This window comes from Homo sapiens, chromosome 4 (genome assembly GCF_000001405.40).
Source record: "Homo sapiens chromosome 4, GRCh38.p14 Primary Assembly".
In the NCBI taxonomy this organism is placed as follows: domain Eukaryota; kingdom Metazoa; phylum Chordata; class Mammalia; order Primates; family Hominidae; genus Homo; species Homo sapiens.
This window is the reverse complement of record NC_000004.12, coordinates 4369825-4385042: the sequence shown is the minus strand read 5'-3', so window position 1 is coordinate 4385042 and position 15218 is coordinate 4369825. Positions and strand designations below refer to the sequence as shown.

At 48.5% G+C, this 15218-nt stretch overlaps 1 long non-coding RNA gene across 2 annotated transcripts; it reads right to left on the bottom strand.

Moving 5' to 3' along the window:
* Positions 1–433: 433 nt before the first annotated feature.
* On the bottom strand, positions 434–14671 carry LOC112268462 (uncharacterized). 2 transcript variants are annotated; one of them, XR_007058004.1, is made up of 3 exons: positions 14428–14671; positions 3970–4060; positions 434–521 (listed from the first exon to the last, which is right to left on the bottom strand). It is a non-coding gene; the product is annotated as an uncharacterized LOC112268462 (long non-coding RNA). The 2 variants fall into 2 exon arrangements; XR_002959778.1 differs by lacking the exon at positions 434–521 and adding an exon at positions 3131–3168.
* Positions 14672–15218: the final 547 nt, after the last annotated feature.

Genomic DNA, 15218 nt, shown 5'->3' with positions numbered 1-15218 from the left:
AATGCAAAATGCATGAGACACAGCGCCACCCGCAGGGAGCTACGGACAAGGGCAAGTCTTTGCTGGGAGCAGTGGCCCTGTGGGAGAGTGGCCTCTGCCTCTTGCCAGGAGGGAGGACATCCAGAGACTGTGGGTAAAGACTGTGGATAAAGCTTCCTACAGGTGGGCCTGAGAGAGGTGCGTGCAGAGGGGAAGGCATTCCAGGTAGGAGAACAGAATGTGTTAAGACAGTATATGAGCTTCCTGCCACTGTTGGAACAAATTTGGCTTAAAACAATAGAAACATGTTCTCTCCTGGCTTTGGAGGCCAGAAGTCTAAAGTCTAGGTCCCAGCAGGGCCTCACTCCCTCTACAAGCCACAGAGAAGAACCTGTTCTTTCCCCCTCCAGCTTCCAGTGGCTCCAGACATTCTTTGACTGTGGCTGCATCACTCCAATCTCTGCCTTCATGTCACTCCAGTCATATTGCCTCCTCCTCTTCTCTGTGTCTCTTATAAGGACACTCATCATAGGATTTAGGGCCTGCTGGGATAATCCAGGATAAGGTCTCCCTCTCAAAATCCTTAACTTAATCCTATCTTTGCCATATAAGATAATGTTCACTCTTTTACTATGTAAGGTAAATCAGGTTCCCGGGGTTAGCATGTGGACATATCTTTTAAGGGTCGCCATTCAGCTCACTACAGGCATTAAGCTTGCAAGGGTGTGGTGATTTGGAGAACCCAAGTCATTCACAGAGGGTGGCAGAAATTAGGTTGAAGAAGCCACAGCCACCAAAATGGGGATGGCTGAGGCTGCAATGGTGGTTGCAGGTCAAACAGATGTCAGGTATTTTCACAACATACAAAAAGGGAAAATCAATGGGATGCGATCTCCCCCTGGACCAGTTTCATCCCAGCACCAACAATTTAAAATCCAAGTGCCACAGAAGATTGTTGACACATACTCAGTTTTTCTAAATGACTCTTTTTTTTTTTTTTTTTTTGGGACGGAGTCTTGCTCCGTCGCCAGGCTGGAGTGCAGTGCCGTGATCTCAGCTTACTGCAACCTCCGCCTCCCTGGTGCAAGTGATTCTCCTGCCTCAGCTTCCTGAGTAGCTGGGATTACAGGCACGTGCCACCACTCCCAGCTAATTTTTGTATTTTTAGTAGAGACGGAGTTTCACCATATTGGTAAGGATGGTCCTGATCTCCTGACCTCGTGATCCACCTGCTTCAGCCTCCCAAAGTGTTGGAATTACAGGAGTGAGCCACTGCACCTGGCCCTAAATGACTCTTTTAGGAATACTTCCAGGGTTGCTGATCTCAGGCACAGACCCATCACTGCCTGTACGATTGTAACTCCTACCCTGCTCCCTCTCCTCAGGGCAGCCAGGCGCTGCTCTCTAATGACCCTGGTACTTCCAGGTCCAAGCGTTTTAGCAACTTCCCTTGTCCCACTGGTTGAAGTCCAGACTGTCACAGCAAGAGACAATGTGACACAGTGGCTAAGCCGTGGCCCGATTTTGAATCCTGTCCCTCTCTTCCTAGCAGTGTGACTTCAGGCAAGCTGCTTAACCTTTCTATGCTTCAGTTTCCCCATCTATAAATGGAGATAATGAAACCTCCATCAGAGCAGTGTTGTGAGAATCAAATGAGCTATTCTTATTTTTTTAAGTGCCTGTTTTAGGTATTACTATTGCTTTGACCTCTAATTCTGTACTCCTGTGGTCTCTATTCTTAGCAGCCGGTGCTGGAGCCAGGGCGAGGTGATAGACACTTTTCCTGGTTATGTGACAAGTGTTCAGAGTGACTAAGGTGACTCTTCCCCTAGAGGCCTCATGAGCCTCTTTGCAGGTCACAGAAGTCAAATGATGAGTCCCCGGCCACAGGCTTCCCTGCAGAGCTGGGATGGGTTGCAGGATCTAGTCAGGCCTCCCACAGCCAGCCAGATCTCCAGGATGGATGAGGTCCTGCTGGGAGGGTGGCCACCCAGTGCTGTCAGCCTATGGAGGTTCAGTGGCAGGTGATCAGCAGAGGTTCTGCTCTGTTTTTCTGCAGCCTGGCCACGTCGATCCAGCGATGCTTCATCCAAATGTCTTGTTTTTAGATTGAGATGTAATTCACATGCCACAGATATCACCAGTTTAAAGTATACGCTTAACTGGTTTTAGTATATTTACAAGGTTGTACAATCATCACCACTAATTTCAGAACATTTTCATCACCCCGTAAAGAAACCTGCATCCCACAACAGTCACTCCCTGCACACATCCTCATCTCTGATGGTTTTAAGTTTCTTGGGTCCACTTCTCAATCCACGGGACCAGCCGGCACGCTGGGACCAGCCGGCACACTGGGATCAGCCGGCACACTGACACAGAATCGGGAGAGACATTAGGCTCTGGATCTTTCTGCAAATGGGACAATCCATTTGCAATGTGAAGAATCAGCCCACCTGGGTGAAGTCATCCCTGTTTCTCCTTAAACCCTGTCCTGTAGCCAAATTCTCCATTCCCCCAAGTGCCTGCCTCCAGGCCTTTGCAAATGCTGCTTCTCTTGCCTAGATTGCCTTCCCCACTCCTCATCGATTTTGCAAACTGCTCCTCATCCTCCAAAGCCCAGATCCAATGTTGCCTCCTCTTTGAAGCTTGGCCTTTCTTTATGCTCCTCTATCCCGGAGTCTGGGTATTTACATTTCTATATAGATCATGAGCAAATCAGGCAGAACCACTTAATCTTTCATTTCCATATCCCCCCTGTCTAGAGCATGGCCTGGTAATCAGGAAATGTTTGCTTAATTGAATAGGCATCCACTTAGCTTACATTCACAGTAAAGTAAGACATGAACATCAGAGGTGTAAATTCGAATTCAAGTGCATAGTAAGAAAGTCAGGTCAGGCCTGGTGGCTCATCCCTTTAATCACAGCACTTTGGGAGGCTGAAGTGGAAAGAACCCTTGAGCCCAGGAGTCTGAGAACCACCTGGACAACAAAGTGGACCCCCATAAAAAAAAAAAAAAAAGAAAAAGAAAGAAAGGAAGGAAGGGAGGGAGGGAGGGAAGAGAGAATTAGCCAGGTGTGGTAGCACAAACCTGTGACCCCAGCTACTCAGGAGGCTGAGGTGGGAGGATCGCTTGAGCCCAGGAGTTTAAGGCTGCAGTGAGCTGTGATTGCACCCTGCTCTCCAGCCTCAGCAACAGAACAAGAACAAAAAAAAAAAAAAAAAAGAAAGAAAGAAAAGAAAATTCATGGTCTAATTAAAACCGAAGGCAGGTTTGCCCATGACATCGTTGTGATGCTCTCTTCTTAGAGTTCACCTTACTGCAAAATACCCATTTCTGGAAAACCCCAAATGTTATTATTTAAAATACATAATATATAAATGAAATCATAAATATAGTTTCTAGTGCTCTCCAGCGTTTTATTTACCTTTGTGTTTCCCAGCGCTTGGCCACATGAGACGCTCAGTAAATGGCTAAGAAATGAATGGACTCACTCTACTTCTTTGCTTTCACTGGGTAAATACGATTATGGGGCTCAGAATCATTTGATGACCGATGATGTATTTAAACAGAATTGTGTCTGCGTGTTTAGTTTGGGGGTTTGGGGATTTTGTTTGCTTGTTGTTGCTGTTTTGTCTTATAGTCTTAATGAACCACTCAGCAATTCCTGATTTTCCCAAATTATTTCTAAGATCCATTTTGCTTTGGCTGTGAGGCACTTGACCTTGGGGGAGTGGGAGCAAGAAAAAGACAGCCAAAGGCTTTGGTGAAAAGCCCTCTGTGGCCTGCGTTTCCTCATCTGTAAATTGACAAGAATGGTCACACATGTTTTCTTTCAGCTCCAGGATTTGTTATCTAAGAAAAGATGATTTACAAATACTCCCCATTGGAGTCCTATTTCTGGATTTGTGATGAGAACCTTGCAATGTGGGGTGATCGATGGGCATAAAGGCAGCAGAAGCTGAGTGTTCTTTGGTTGGATGCTCACCTCCAAGATGCTGGCAGCTCCAAATTCCTCTGGCCTGCTCATTTTCCTCTCACAACCCAGGCTGTTTTCAAATAATCCAACCTGTCCAACTCTAAAATTAAGGACATTAGAGTAGAAAAATATTTAGGTCAAGAAATGTTCTCCCTGTCTAGGATTTGCGTCATGGAGAGGGTGGAGGGGAGAGCGGAGAAGCAGCCCAGCCCCCAAACCCAGCAGAGGCAGGGGAGGGAGGCACATGAGGACTTCTTTTTCTTTTTCTTTTTTTTGAAACAGTCTTGCTCTCTCACCCAGGCTAGAGTGCAGGGGCACAATCTTGGCTCACTGCAACCTCCACCTCCCAGGTTCAAATGATTCTCCTGCCTCAGCTTCCTGAGTAGCTAGGATTACAGGTGCCTGCCACCACGCCTGGCTAATTTTTTTGTATTTTTGGTAGAAACAGGATTTTGCCATGTTGACCAGGCTGGTCTCAAACTCCTGACCTCAAGTGATCTGCCTGCCTCAGCCTCCCAAAGTGCTGGGATTACAGGCGTGAGCCACCACGCCCAGCCGCACATGTGAACTTCTAAAGAGTGCATCCAATATGCCTTTTTTTGGGAGAGGGTCAAATTCAGAAGATAGAGCTCTACAGTCTTGCAGAGGGGAGGGGGCGAAATGTGGACCGAATGAACAATTATGTTAGGGTCAAGGGTTTTTCCAAGGTTGAATAATCCTCTAGTTCATGCCTTCATTTTATACCTGGGCCAGCAGGGAGTAAGGTGCATTGTTGCCGGCCACTCAGAGGAGAGGTGGAGCCTGTCCCTGGACTTCTGCCTGTTCAGTTACCCCCAGTGAGCCATGGCAGGGGGGCTCACAGACCAGGCCAGACTCCTGCCTCCACAGCAAAGCTCCCAACCCCCAGGCACCCTCGCTGTTCTGATCCACCAATGGTGCTGTGCGGGCCTCTGCCCTTGGCCCGGCAGATCCTGTCTCTAGGACAGGAGCTGGGCTGGATGGACTGTGGCCGCTGCAGTGGACTCCCTTGCCCTCTGGCCAACAGGCATTTGTCCCCTGGCTGCCTCAGACTGACCCTGTTCCTCAAAAAACGCCACCTCTCCTCCAAGGCAGCCTCAGCCCTTCCAGAACCCTGTCACACCCCCTCCCCTCCTCCTGCTGGCCCAGGGATGGCAATAGCTCCCCTTGCGAGCCCAGGCCACTGAACGCTTCTTCTGAGCCCTACACCCTGGCCACCTTTGCAGACAATTCTTTGAAATACATCTCCTCACATGACCCCATTTGGCGTGGCCCCTGCAACCTCTTGGTATCTTTACTGATGCAAATGCTGAGGAGAATACTTCTTGCTCCCTGAAGCCCCCTAGAGCCTCAAGGAGGAAACCCCCTTTAACCATCCTCCAGGCGAAAAATTAGGTGATGATGATGACCATGAAATACCTTCCCTGTCACTATCTTTGTTTTTTTTAGCTTCACAAAAATTCTGAAGTAGAAAGGACAGATACTGTTACACCCATTTTTCAGATAAGGTAACAATCATCATTGGTGTAAATGACCATATTAAATAGCATGTGTCATCAGGGAATACAGAGGGAGCACCAAAGTGCTTTCTAGGTATTTCTCCCAATGCCCTCAACCCACATTCTAGGGCTGTTTCTATTCATAGTCCATCTCTCAGATGAGGCCACCGAGGCTTGGGTGACAGATGATTATTAAGAAGATGCTGGATGTTCTCACTTATAAGTGGGAGCTGAACAATGAGAACACACGGACACAGGGTGGGAAACAACAGAGAGTGGGGCCTGTTGTGAGGGCGAGGGGAGGGAGAGCATCAGGATAAATAGCTAATGCATGCGGGGCTTAATACCTAGGTGATGGGTTGATAGGTGCAGCGAGTCACCATGGCACAGGTTTACCTATGTAACAAACTTGCATGTCCTGCACATGTATCCCAGAACTTAAAATTAAATTAAATTAAAAATAATAATGCAGATAAAAACATTAAAAAAAGAGAAGATGCTGGGAAGATATGTTGGCAGGAGGGAGAAAACCAGGCACTTCAAGAACTCGGTCAGAGTCCGGGTGCGGTGGCTCACGCCTGTAATCCCAGCACTTTGGGAGGCCAAGGTGGGAGGATCACTGAGGTCAGGAGTTCGAGACTAGCCTGGCCAACGTGGCAAAACCCCATCTCTGCTAAAAATACAAAAATTAGCCAGGCATGGTGGTGCACCCCTGTAATCCCAGCTACTCGGGAGGCTGAGGCAGGAGAATCACTTGAATCCAGGAGGTGGAGGTTGCAGTGAGCCGAGAGCACACCACTGCACTCCACTCTGGGCGAAGGAGCAAGACTCCATCTCAAGGAAAAAAAAAAAAAAAGAAAGAACTCGGTCAGAGGGGTGGACTCCCGAGCAACAATGCAGCCCCCTACTGTCCCCAGGCCCAGCCCTGCTCTCGGCCCATGCTGGCTGACAGGAGACCTAGCTACACCTCTCTTTCCCTTCTTGACTGTAATAAAGTGGGGAGGGAGGATCCCCTAAAGCCGAATACTCTCCTCCGGTCCTGAGCTGATGCTAGTCCTCATACTAGCCATGTGGCCTTGGGCAAAGCGTGCCCCCACCTCCGTTTCCGCTTCCATAAAATGAGGGGTTTGGACTGGAATAACTAATTCTCCTCCCCCTGAGAAGTGCCCCCCCACATTGTGTTCGCTGTCACGATGGCAAGAATGGCCCAGGATGAATCAGATCCAAAGTTATCGAGGACACACTGAGGTCAAGCAAGTGACCACGCGTGACCGGGGGGATAAATAACGAAGGCCACATAATTCCATTCCGCCCTTCCCCTGCTTTTTTCATAAGCAGTCCAATGTCCCTCAGCACCAGCTAAGTACCAGATTTCGAGCTTGTAGCAATAACTCGTATTAAATTATTTAGCCAGTAAATGATTATAAAAGCACTTTGCCAAAGTAAAGAACCGCAGAAAGGCCAAATTCTAATAACAGTGATACCGCCATACGCTTGAATTAATTATTGAATTTTTTAAAAGCCCACAGATGGATGAATGCAATTCATTTCATGCTTTGTGGAGCCAGGGTCCCTGGGAGAGTGTCTGAAATTCACAGTCTCCCCGGAGTGTGCTGGAGATTACACAGCGGAAGGCTGAACGGCATTGCAGGCGGCGTAGCGATGACCTAATGGGGCTTTTCCGTCTGGAATGCCTCCATCCGTGCAGCTGGGTCTGGGGCTTGGTGGCCACAGCACAGTGAAATTAGCACGTAACCCCTAGGCCAGCCCTGATGCACAGGCCCTGAGCTGTCCTGCAACTTCTGGCCATGACATGACATTTTTCTTATTTTTTTTTTAATGTTCATAATCTGTCACCTTTTCTCCCCTTGTTTCTCAGGCCCAGCTCAGGAATAAGGTTGGGGTCCTCATGAGCAGATTTTCCAGAGATTGAATTTTTATCCCTCTAGGTCTAATTTTCCTCATTTTGGACCAGAGTCATTCTAAAATGCAGAGCACGTCGTCCTGCTTTCCAAAACAGAGGACGTTGGAAAGAATTTAACCTCTTGCTGAAGAATCAGGTCAGCTTCATGAACACCATAGACCGAACTGGATTGGGTGCTATGGGCTGGGACTCGTGCCCCACACTGGCTGTCCACAGGCTGTAGGCTTGGCTAGGCTTGCCCCTGCCCTTGTCGCTGCCTCTGTGGCCGCCGTCCCCACAGCGGTTGCAGACGCGATCCTCATAGTGCACCCCTCGCTCTTTCCAGTGCACTGTTTCTAATCTGCTATGGGCAGAGAGTCCAAATTGCTGAACTTATCAGAATGACATCTGAAAGAGGCTGTATTGGGTTGAAAGGTGTCCCCCCAAAATTCATGTCCATCTGGGACCACAGAATGTGACCTTATGGAAATACGTCCAATCAGATAGAAAAGGTAAAGATCTTAAGATGAGAGCATCCTGGATGTAGGGTGGACCTCAATCCAATAACTAGTATCCCTATAAGAAGAAGGGACATGGCTGGGTGTGGTAGCTCACGCCTGTAATCCCAACACTTTTGGAGGCCAAGGCAGGCAGATCACTTGAGGCTAAGGGTTTGAGACCAGCCTGGCCAACATGGCGAAACCCCATCTCTACTAAAAATACAAAAATTAGCCAGGTATGGTGGTGCATGCCTGTAGTCTTAGCTACTGGGGAGGCTGAGGTAGGAGAATCGCTTGAACTAGGGAGGCAGAGGTTGCAGTGAGCTGAGAAAGCACCACTGCACTCCAGCCTGGGTGACAAAACAAGACTCTGTCTCAAAAAAGAAAAAAAGAAAAAATGAAAGGACACAGGGAGACACACAGGGAAAAGGCTGTGGGACAAGAGAGGCAGAGACTGGAGGGATGCGGCCACAGCTAAGGGATGCTAAGGATCCCCAGGAGCCTCCAGCAGTTAAGGAAGAGGCAAGGAACGGAGCCTCCCCGGAGCCTTCAGAGGGCATGGAGCCCTGCTGACACCTTGATTTTGAACTTCCAGCCTCCAGAACTCTGAGACAGTAGGTTTCTGTTGTTTTAAGCTGCCCAGTTTATGGTAATTTGTTATGACAGCCCCAGGAAATGAATACGGAGGTTCTCGAGCCCAGATAGCTTTTCTACTTTTTAATGTGTTTTCCCTTTATGTTTGAATATATTACATATTTGGACATCATATGCATTGTTTAGAGTTTTTGAAGCATTTCACGAGTCCAAATTCCCCGGATTGATTAGAGCTCAGCAGAGGGAAGATGCATGGTCCCCACTCAATGCTGCTGTCCCTCCCTGGTGGCCTTTGCAGGACAGGACAGGGATGGGTCTTGCTGCACTTGTCTGGAGCCTAGCCAGCTTGCGGTGCTTCTTCTCTCTGAGCACAGTGCCTCTACATTGGGTTTTGGAATCATAAACCTGCATTGGAGAGCTGGGGTGGATCCCAGAAAGCATTAGTCCAGGGCTCTGGTTCTCAAAGTGCAGTCCCTGGACCAGCAGATCAGCCTTTCCTAGGAGCGTGTTAGAGATGCAGATGCTCAGGCCCCACCCCAGACTTGCTGAATCAGGAACGCTGCTTTTTAACAAACCCTCCAGGGAGATTCTGATGCACACTTAAGTTTCAGAATCATCGGTTCTGGGTTTGTAAACGGGAATTCTGCAGGGTGAGCTATACTCATTTGTATGTTTTGAAAATTGCCAGCTGGGTGCGATGACTGATGCCCATAATCTCAACACTTTGAGAGGTCGAGGTGGGAGGATTGCCTGAGCCCAGGAGTTTAAGACCAGCCTGGGCAACATAATGAGACCCTGTCTCTACAAAATAATAATAATAATGATAATAATAAACAATCGGGTGAATTTAGTGGTGCAGCACATTTGTAGTCCTAGCTACTTGGAAGACTGAGGTGAGAGTATCACTTGAGTGCAGGAGATTGAGGTGACAGTGAGCTATGATCATACCACTGTACTCCAGACTGGGCCACAAAATGAGAACTTGTCTCAGAAAAAAAAAAAAAAGAAGGAAGGAAAGGGAGGAAGGGAGGGAGGAAAGAAAGAAAGGAAGGGAAGGGAAGGAGGGAGGAAGGGAGGGAAGGAAATTGCCTTTACTGGAAACACTTAAAAACCAGATTTCATGAAACACGCAAATTTACTGCCTTCTTCTGAAAAATTAAGAGACCTCACAACAAAGACATTCCCACGTGGCAAAAATCAGCTCCATGGGGAGAATGGCTGCCCACCTCCTGCACCCACCATTCCCTCTCCTGCCTTAGATGTGGGGCTTGTGCCTCACTCACCTTGGCTGCCCAGCCTGCCTGGCCCTGTGGGTGCTTGAGTGTGAGCCCCTCATCCAGTTCAATACCTCAGTTCACAGGTAGAGAAACTGAGGCACACAAAAGGGAATGAGCATGTTCCAGGAACCATGCAATGCTACCGACTGCTGAGTGACTGGGCAGCTCAGAAGCCTTTGCAGTTACTAGAGGCAAGCACAAGAAGCCCATGGGAGGACCTGGGAACCCTGAGATCCTCAGGAGCTCAGTTCTGGAATGAGAAACTCTTGGTGGCGCCCACAGTCCAAGCTGGAGAAGGCGAGGGTGGAATGAGGGTAAGGCCATGGAGATGGACAGGAGGGAGAGATACAAGAGATGGCCAGAGGATGGCCACAAAAAACACCAGCCAATAATAAGTGTTGACAAGGATGCAAGGAAATTGGAACTCTCAGACGTTGTTGATGGGAATGTAAAATGGTGCAGCCACTATGGAAAACAGCATCAAAGTTCTTCAAAAAGTTAGACATAGAGTCATCCTATGACCCAGCCACACCACTCCTAGGAATACACTCAAGAGGATTGAAACAAGTTCACACAAAAAAGTGTACATGAATGTTTATGACAGCGTTAATCGTAATAGCCAACAGGTGGAAAGAACCCAAATGTCCATCCACTGATTAAGGGATAAACAAAATGTGGTCTAGCTGTACAGTGGAATATTACTCAGCCATAAAAAAGGAATGGAACACTGACACATGCTACCACATGATTAAACCTTGAAACCATTTGACTAAGTGAAAGAAGCCAGACAAGAAAAGACCTCATGCTGTGTGATTCGTTTATGTGAAGCATGCAGAAGAGGCAAATCCTCAGAGACAAAAAACAGATGAGTGGAGGGAGTGGGAGGTGACTGCTGTTGGGTATGGGATGTTTTGGGGGGATGACGAAACTATCCTGGAGTTAAATAGTGGTGATAGGTGCATGACCGTAAAATATACTCTTAAAAAGCCCCAGCAAATTCTATGCCTCAAAACGGTGAGTTTTTATGGTATGTGAATTGTTATATCTCAATTTTTTTCTTTTTTGAAAATTTTTAATAATTTTAGGTCATTTTAAGGACTTTATTTTTTTTTTGAGAGAGAGTCTCCCTCTGTGGCCCAGGCTGGAGTGCAGTGGCATGATCTCAGCTCACTGCAACCTCCACCTCCTGAGTTCAAGCAATTCTCCTGCCTCAGCCTCCCAAGTAGCTGGGACTACAGGCACGTGCCACCACGCCCAGCTAATTTTTGTAGTTTTAGTAGCAACGGGGTTTCACCATATTGGCCAGGATGGTCTCAAACTCCTGACCTCAGGTGTATCTTAATTTTTCAAAAGAGATGGTCGGTGTAAAATGAGGAGGAAGATGAGGAATGGCAGGGATGAGGATGACTCTGAACTTGCAGCGACTGAGCCTGCCGTGGGCCTGTCCTGTGCCGGTGAGCAATCTGCAGACTTTGTCTCCTTTAATCGTCTCCCAGCTGTGGGAGTGAGGGAGGCACCCTCATTTGCCGCATGTTACCTGTGAGTAAACTGAGGCCCAGGGAAGTGAAGCACTTGCTCAAGGTCACACAGCTGGGAGGGAGGAGCTGGGCTTGGGTCTGTCTCCAGCTTTCTGTGCCCTCTCCTTTCCCCACTCTGGTCTGTGAGCCCTGGGAGGGCAGAGAGGGAGCTCCTTCATTCCCCCAGGACCTGGCCTAGTGCAGGGCCTGTTCCCCAACATGTTCTCATTAAATGGTCCTTCAGTTGCTTTGAAGAGACGGGAAACGGGCAAGAAATGGGGGGGATATAGGATGGCGCCATTCACTTCGTTCTCTGGGTCATCTTGGTTTCTGAAGATTGTTTTTAAACCTCCAACAATGACCCCTGAATGTGAAAGGAAAATGTTGTCCCAGGAAAAGGGGCACTTGTGTGTGCAAAACGGGAGGCTGTGCCGAGAGCGCTCTGACTGTGTCGCTCCTTCTTCGCCCCATGTGGAAGGAGATGAGATTTATAAATGATACAGCTAATTGTGTTTTTCTACAAGATTAATTTTATTGTCCCATTATCTGCTCCTTCTGAGTCCATTCAGGGGTGGATTATGTCTTAGCTTTCATCTCTGGAGCTTTCATTAATAATTAGGTCACCTTTTAGCCAGGAGCCCTGGATGCCCTAGGCCAAGGAAACTTCCAGCTGGAATGGAAACTGTGTTACAGTATTCCCTCTGCTACTGTGGGTGCCTCTGTGTCAGAGGAGATGGGCGCTTCCTCCAATACCAGCTGTCAGGAGTCAAAAGGCCAGTGGTTCTTTGGGGGCTTACTAGGCTCCAGACCCTGTCTGGGGGCACTTTTTTATTTTTTGTGAAACCTCACAATTGCCTGTGAGGTCAGGACTGTTGCCCCGTTATACAGATAAGACGGCTGAGTGGCCCCTCCGTAGGATTAGAGAACATGAAGTCACCTAACCACCAATGTGAGCCTAGACAGCTTGCCCCAAAGCCAGTGTTGTCCCCACGCTGTCACACAGATAACTCTCACTCCAGAGTCTAGAGAGTTGGAGGGCGGAGTTCCACTCTCCTGAGATCTTAGAGAATAAGGTGCTTCGAACATGTTGACATCGGCCCCATATTTTTGGTTGGTGAAGATGTGTTGGTGCTGGAGGAAGGGTTGGAGACCGTTGACTGAGCAGCAACCATGCACCACACAAGCTCTATTTCTTTCGTTTTTGTTTGTTTGTCTGTTTGTTTGTTTTGAGATGGAGTCTTGCTCTGTTGCCCAGGCTGCAGTGCAATGGTGCAAACTCAGCTCACCGCAACCTCTACCTCCCAGGTTCAAGCAATTCTCCTGCCTCAGCCTCCCGATTAGCTGGGATTACAGGTGTGTGCCACCACGCCCAGCTAATTTTTTGTATCTTTAGTAGAGACAGGGTTTCACCACGTTGACCAGGCTGGTCTCAAACTCCTGACCTCATGATCCGCCCGCCTTGGCCTCCCAAAGTGCTGGGATTACAGGCGTGAGCCACTGTGTCCGGCTACACACAAGCTCTGTTTCTTATCTCTGGTCCTCACCATCGTCCTCACAGGTAAAACACATTTTCTTCTATTTTCCAGATTAAGTAACTGAGGTGCTGGGGCCAGACACTGAATGACTGGGACCCAGTTTGGGACCCAACAGCACAGGTTGAGCATTTGGGATATTTAGGGTTCTTCACAATAAGTAACGCTGTAGTGAGCGGCTTTGGGCATGTTCTCTGTGCACATCTTTGATAGAAACTGTTGGTATAGGAATTCCTAGAAATGGAATTAGTGTGCAAAGGGTATAAGGATTTTCATCTACTATGTAATAGAGAGGCTAGACAGCTAAATCCTTGGCTTTCCAGACTCCCTTGCAGAGAGAGGTTCCAGGAGATCCCCTCCTGGCCAATGGGACTCTATGCAGTCTTTGTGGGTGTGTGGGAAAGCCATTGTTCTCCTGTGGAAAAGGGACATACATGTCTGGCAGTATTCTTCATCCCTCTTCCTGCCTTACATGTAAAAATGACACCTGGGCCGGGCGCAGTGGCTCACACTGGTAATCCCAGCACTTTGGGAGGCCGAGGCAGGCGGATCAGTTGAGGTCTGGAGTTGGAGACCATCCTGGCCAACATGGTGAAACCCCATCTCTACTAAAAATGCAAAAATTATCTGGGCATCGTGGTGCACACCTGTAATCCCAGCTACTCGGGAGGCAAGCGCATGAGAATCGCTTGAACCTGGGAGGCGAACGTTGCAATGAGCCGAGATAGTGCCACTGCACTCCAGTCTGATCCAGTGACAGATCAAGACTCTTTCTCAAAAAAAAAAAAAAAGAAAGAAAGAAAGAAAGAAAGAAAGAAAGAAAGAAAGAAAAAGAAAAGAAAGAAAAGAAATGACACCTGGAGCCACAGCAGCCTTCTTCCGTCCCTGAGGCTACAGATCTGAGATTGGAAACCCACCCTCAAAGTGTGGTCATCTTTGGGCCAACTGCACTGTACCACCCCCCAGACACTTCTCACTCAGTGAGAATAACGAAGTCTTACTTGCTTAGGCCCTTTTGGGGCAGGATTTCTGCTCCTTGATGCTGAGCACATTCCCAACTGGCATCGGCTCAGACAGGTGAAATACAGCAGAGATGTGGGTTATCCCCAACGTCTATTCTCCCCTTCTTCCATTGCAATAAAAATTCCCTCCAGGCATGTGTTTGCAGAAAATAAGAACCCCCTCGTCCTGTCTCCCTTTTGGCAAGGTGTGGCCCTGTAATGACATTCTGGCAAGAGGGATGAGAGAAGTACGCAGCAGCTCTAGAGGCCTTCCAGAAGGGACACTGGTGCACAGCCCTCTCCCTGTCTTGCTGTCCCCTTCTCCCTCATGCCACCTGTTGTGTGGATGCCATCTTGGGCCATGAGGTTAAGATTCCCACCCAGGATGGTGAAGCAGGGTCCTGGGAGGAGCCAGGCCTGACGACCCCAGGGAGCAGCGCCCCTCCCTCCATGGCCCCGGACCACCTACAGACTTTGTAGCCAATTATCTTGTTGAAGCCACTGATAGTTGGGATTTCCTGTTGCTCACCGTCAAACCTAATCCTGGCTGTATTCGTTCCCTGTTGCCGCTGTAACAACCTACCACAAATGGAGAGGCTGACCCCAGAACAGGCGAATTCTCTTACCGTTTAGAGCTCAAAGCCTAAACTCAGCTTCACTGCGCTGAAGACAAGGTGTTGGTTCCTTCTGGAGATGCTGAGATAGAGTCGCTTCCCTGCCTTTCTCACTGCCTACTGGGCGCACTGGCATTCCTTAGTTGGTGGCTCTTCCCCCATCTTCGAAATACGTCACTCCGATTTCTTTTTTCTTTTTTCTTTTTTTTTTGAGATGGAGTCTCACTCTGTTGCCCAGGCTGGAGTGCAGTGGTGCAATCTCGGCTCACTGCAATCTCTGCCTCCTGAGTTCAAGCGATTCTCCTGCTTCAGCCTCCAGAGTAGCTGGGATTACAGGCACACACCACCACACCCAGCTAATTTTTGTATTTTTGGTAGAGATGGGGTTTCGCCATGTTGGCCAGGCTGATCTTGAACTCCTGACCTCAAGTCATCTGCCCACCTCAGCCTCCTAAAGTGCAGGGATCACAGGCGTGAGCCATCATGCCCAGCCAACATCACTCCAATTTCTGTTTCCCTTTTCACATTGCCCTTCCCTCTGCCTGTTTCCCCCTGACTCCCTCTTATAAGGACTCTGGGGATGACATCAGACCCCCCTCAATAGCCTAGGATCATCTTTCTGTTCCAAGGTCCTCCACATAATCACATCTGCAAAGCTCCTCTTCCCATTTAAGAAGCCTTTTGTAGGATCTGGGGATTAAGATGTGGACAGATTTTGGGGGATATTGTTCAGCCTACCTCACCATCTGGACTACATATTTGTGTCTCCCCCAAATTCCTGTGATGAAGCCCTAATCCCCATT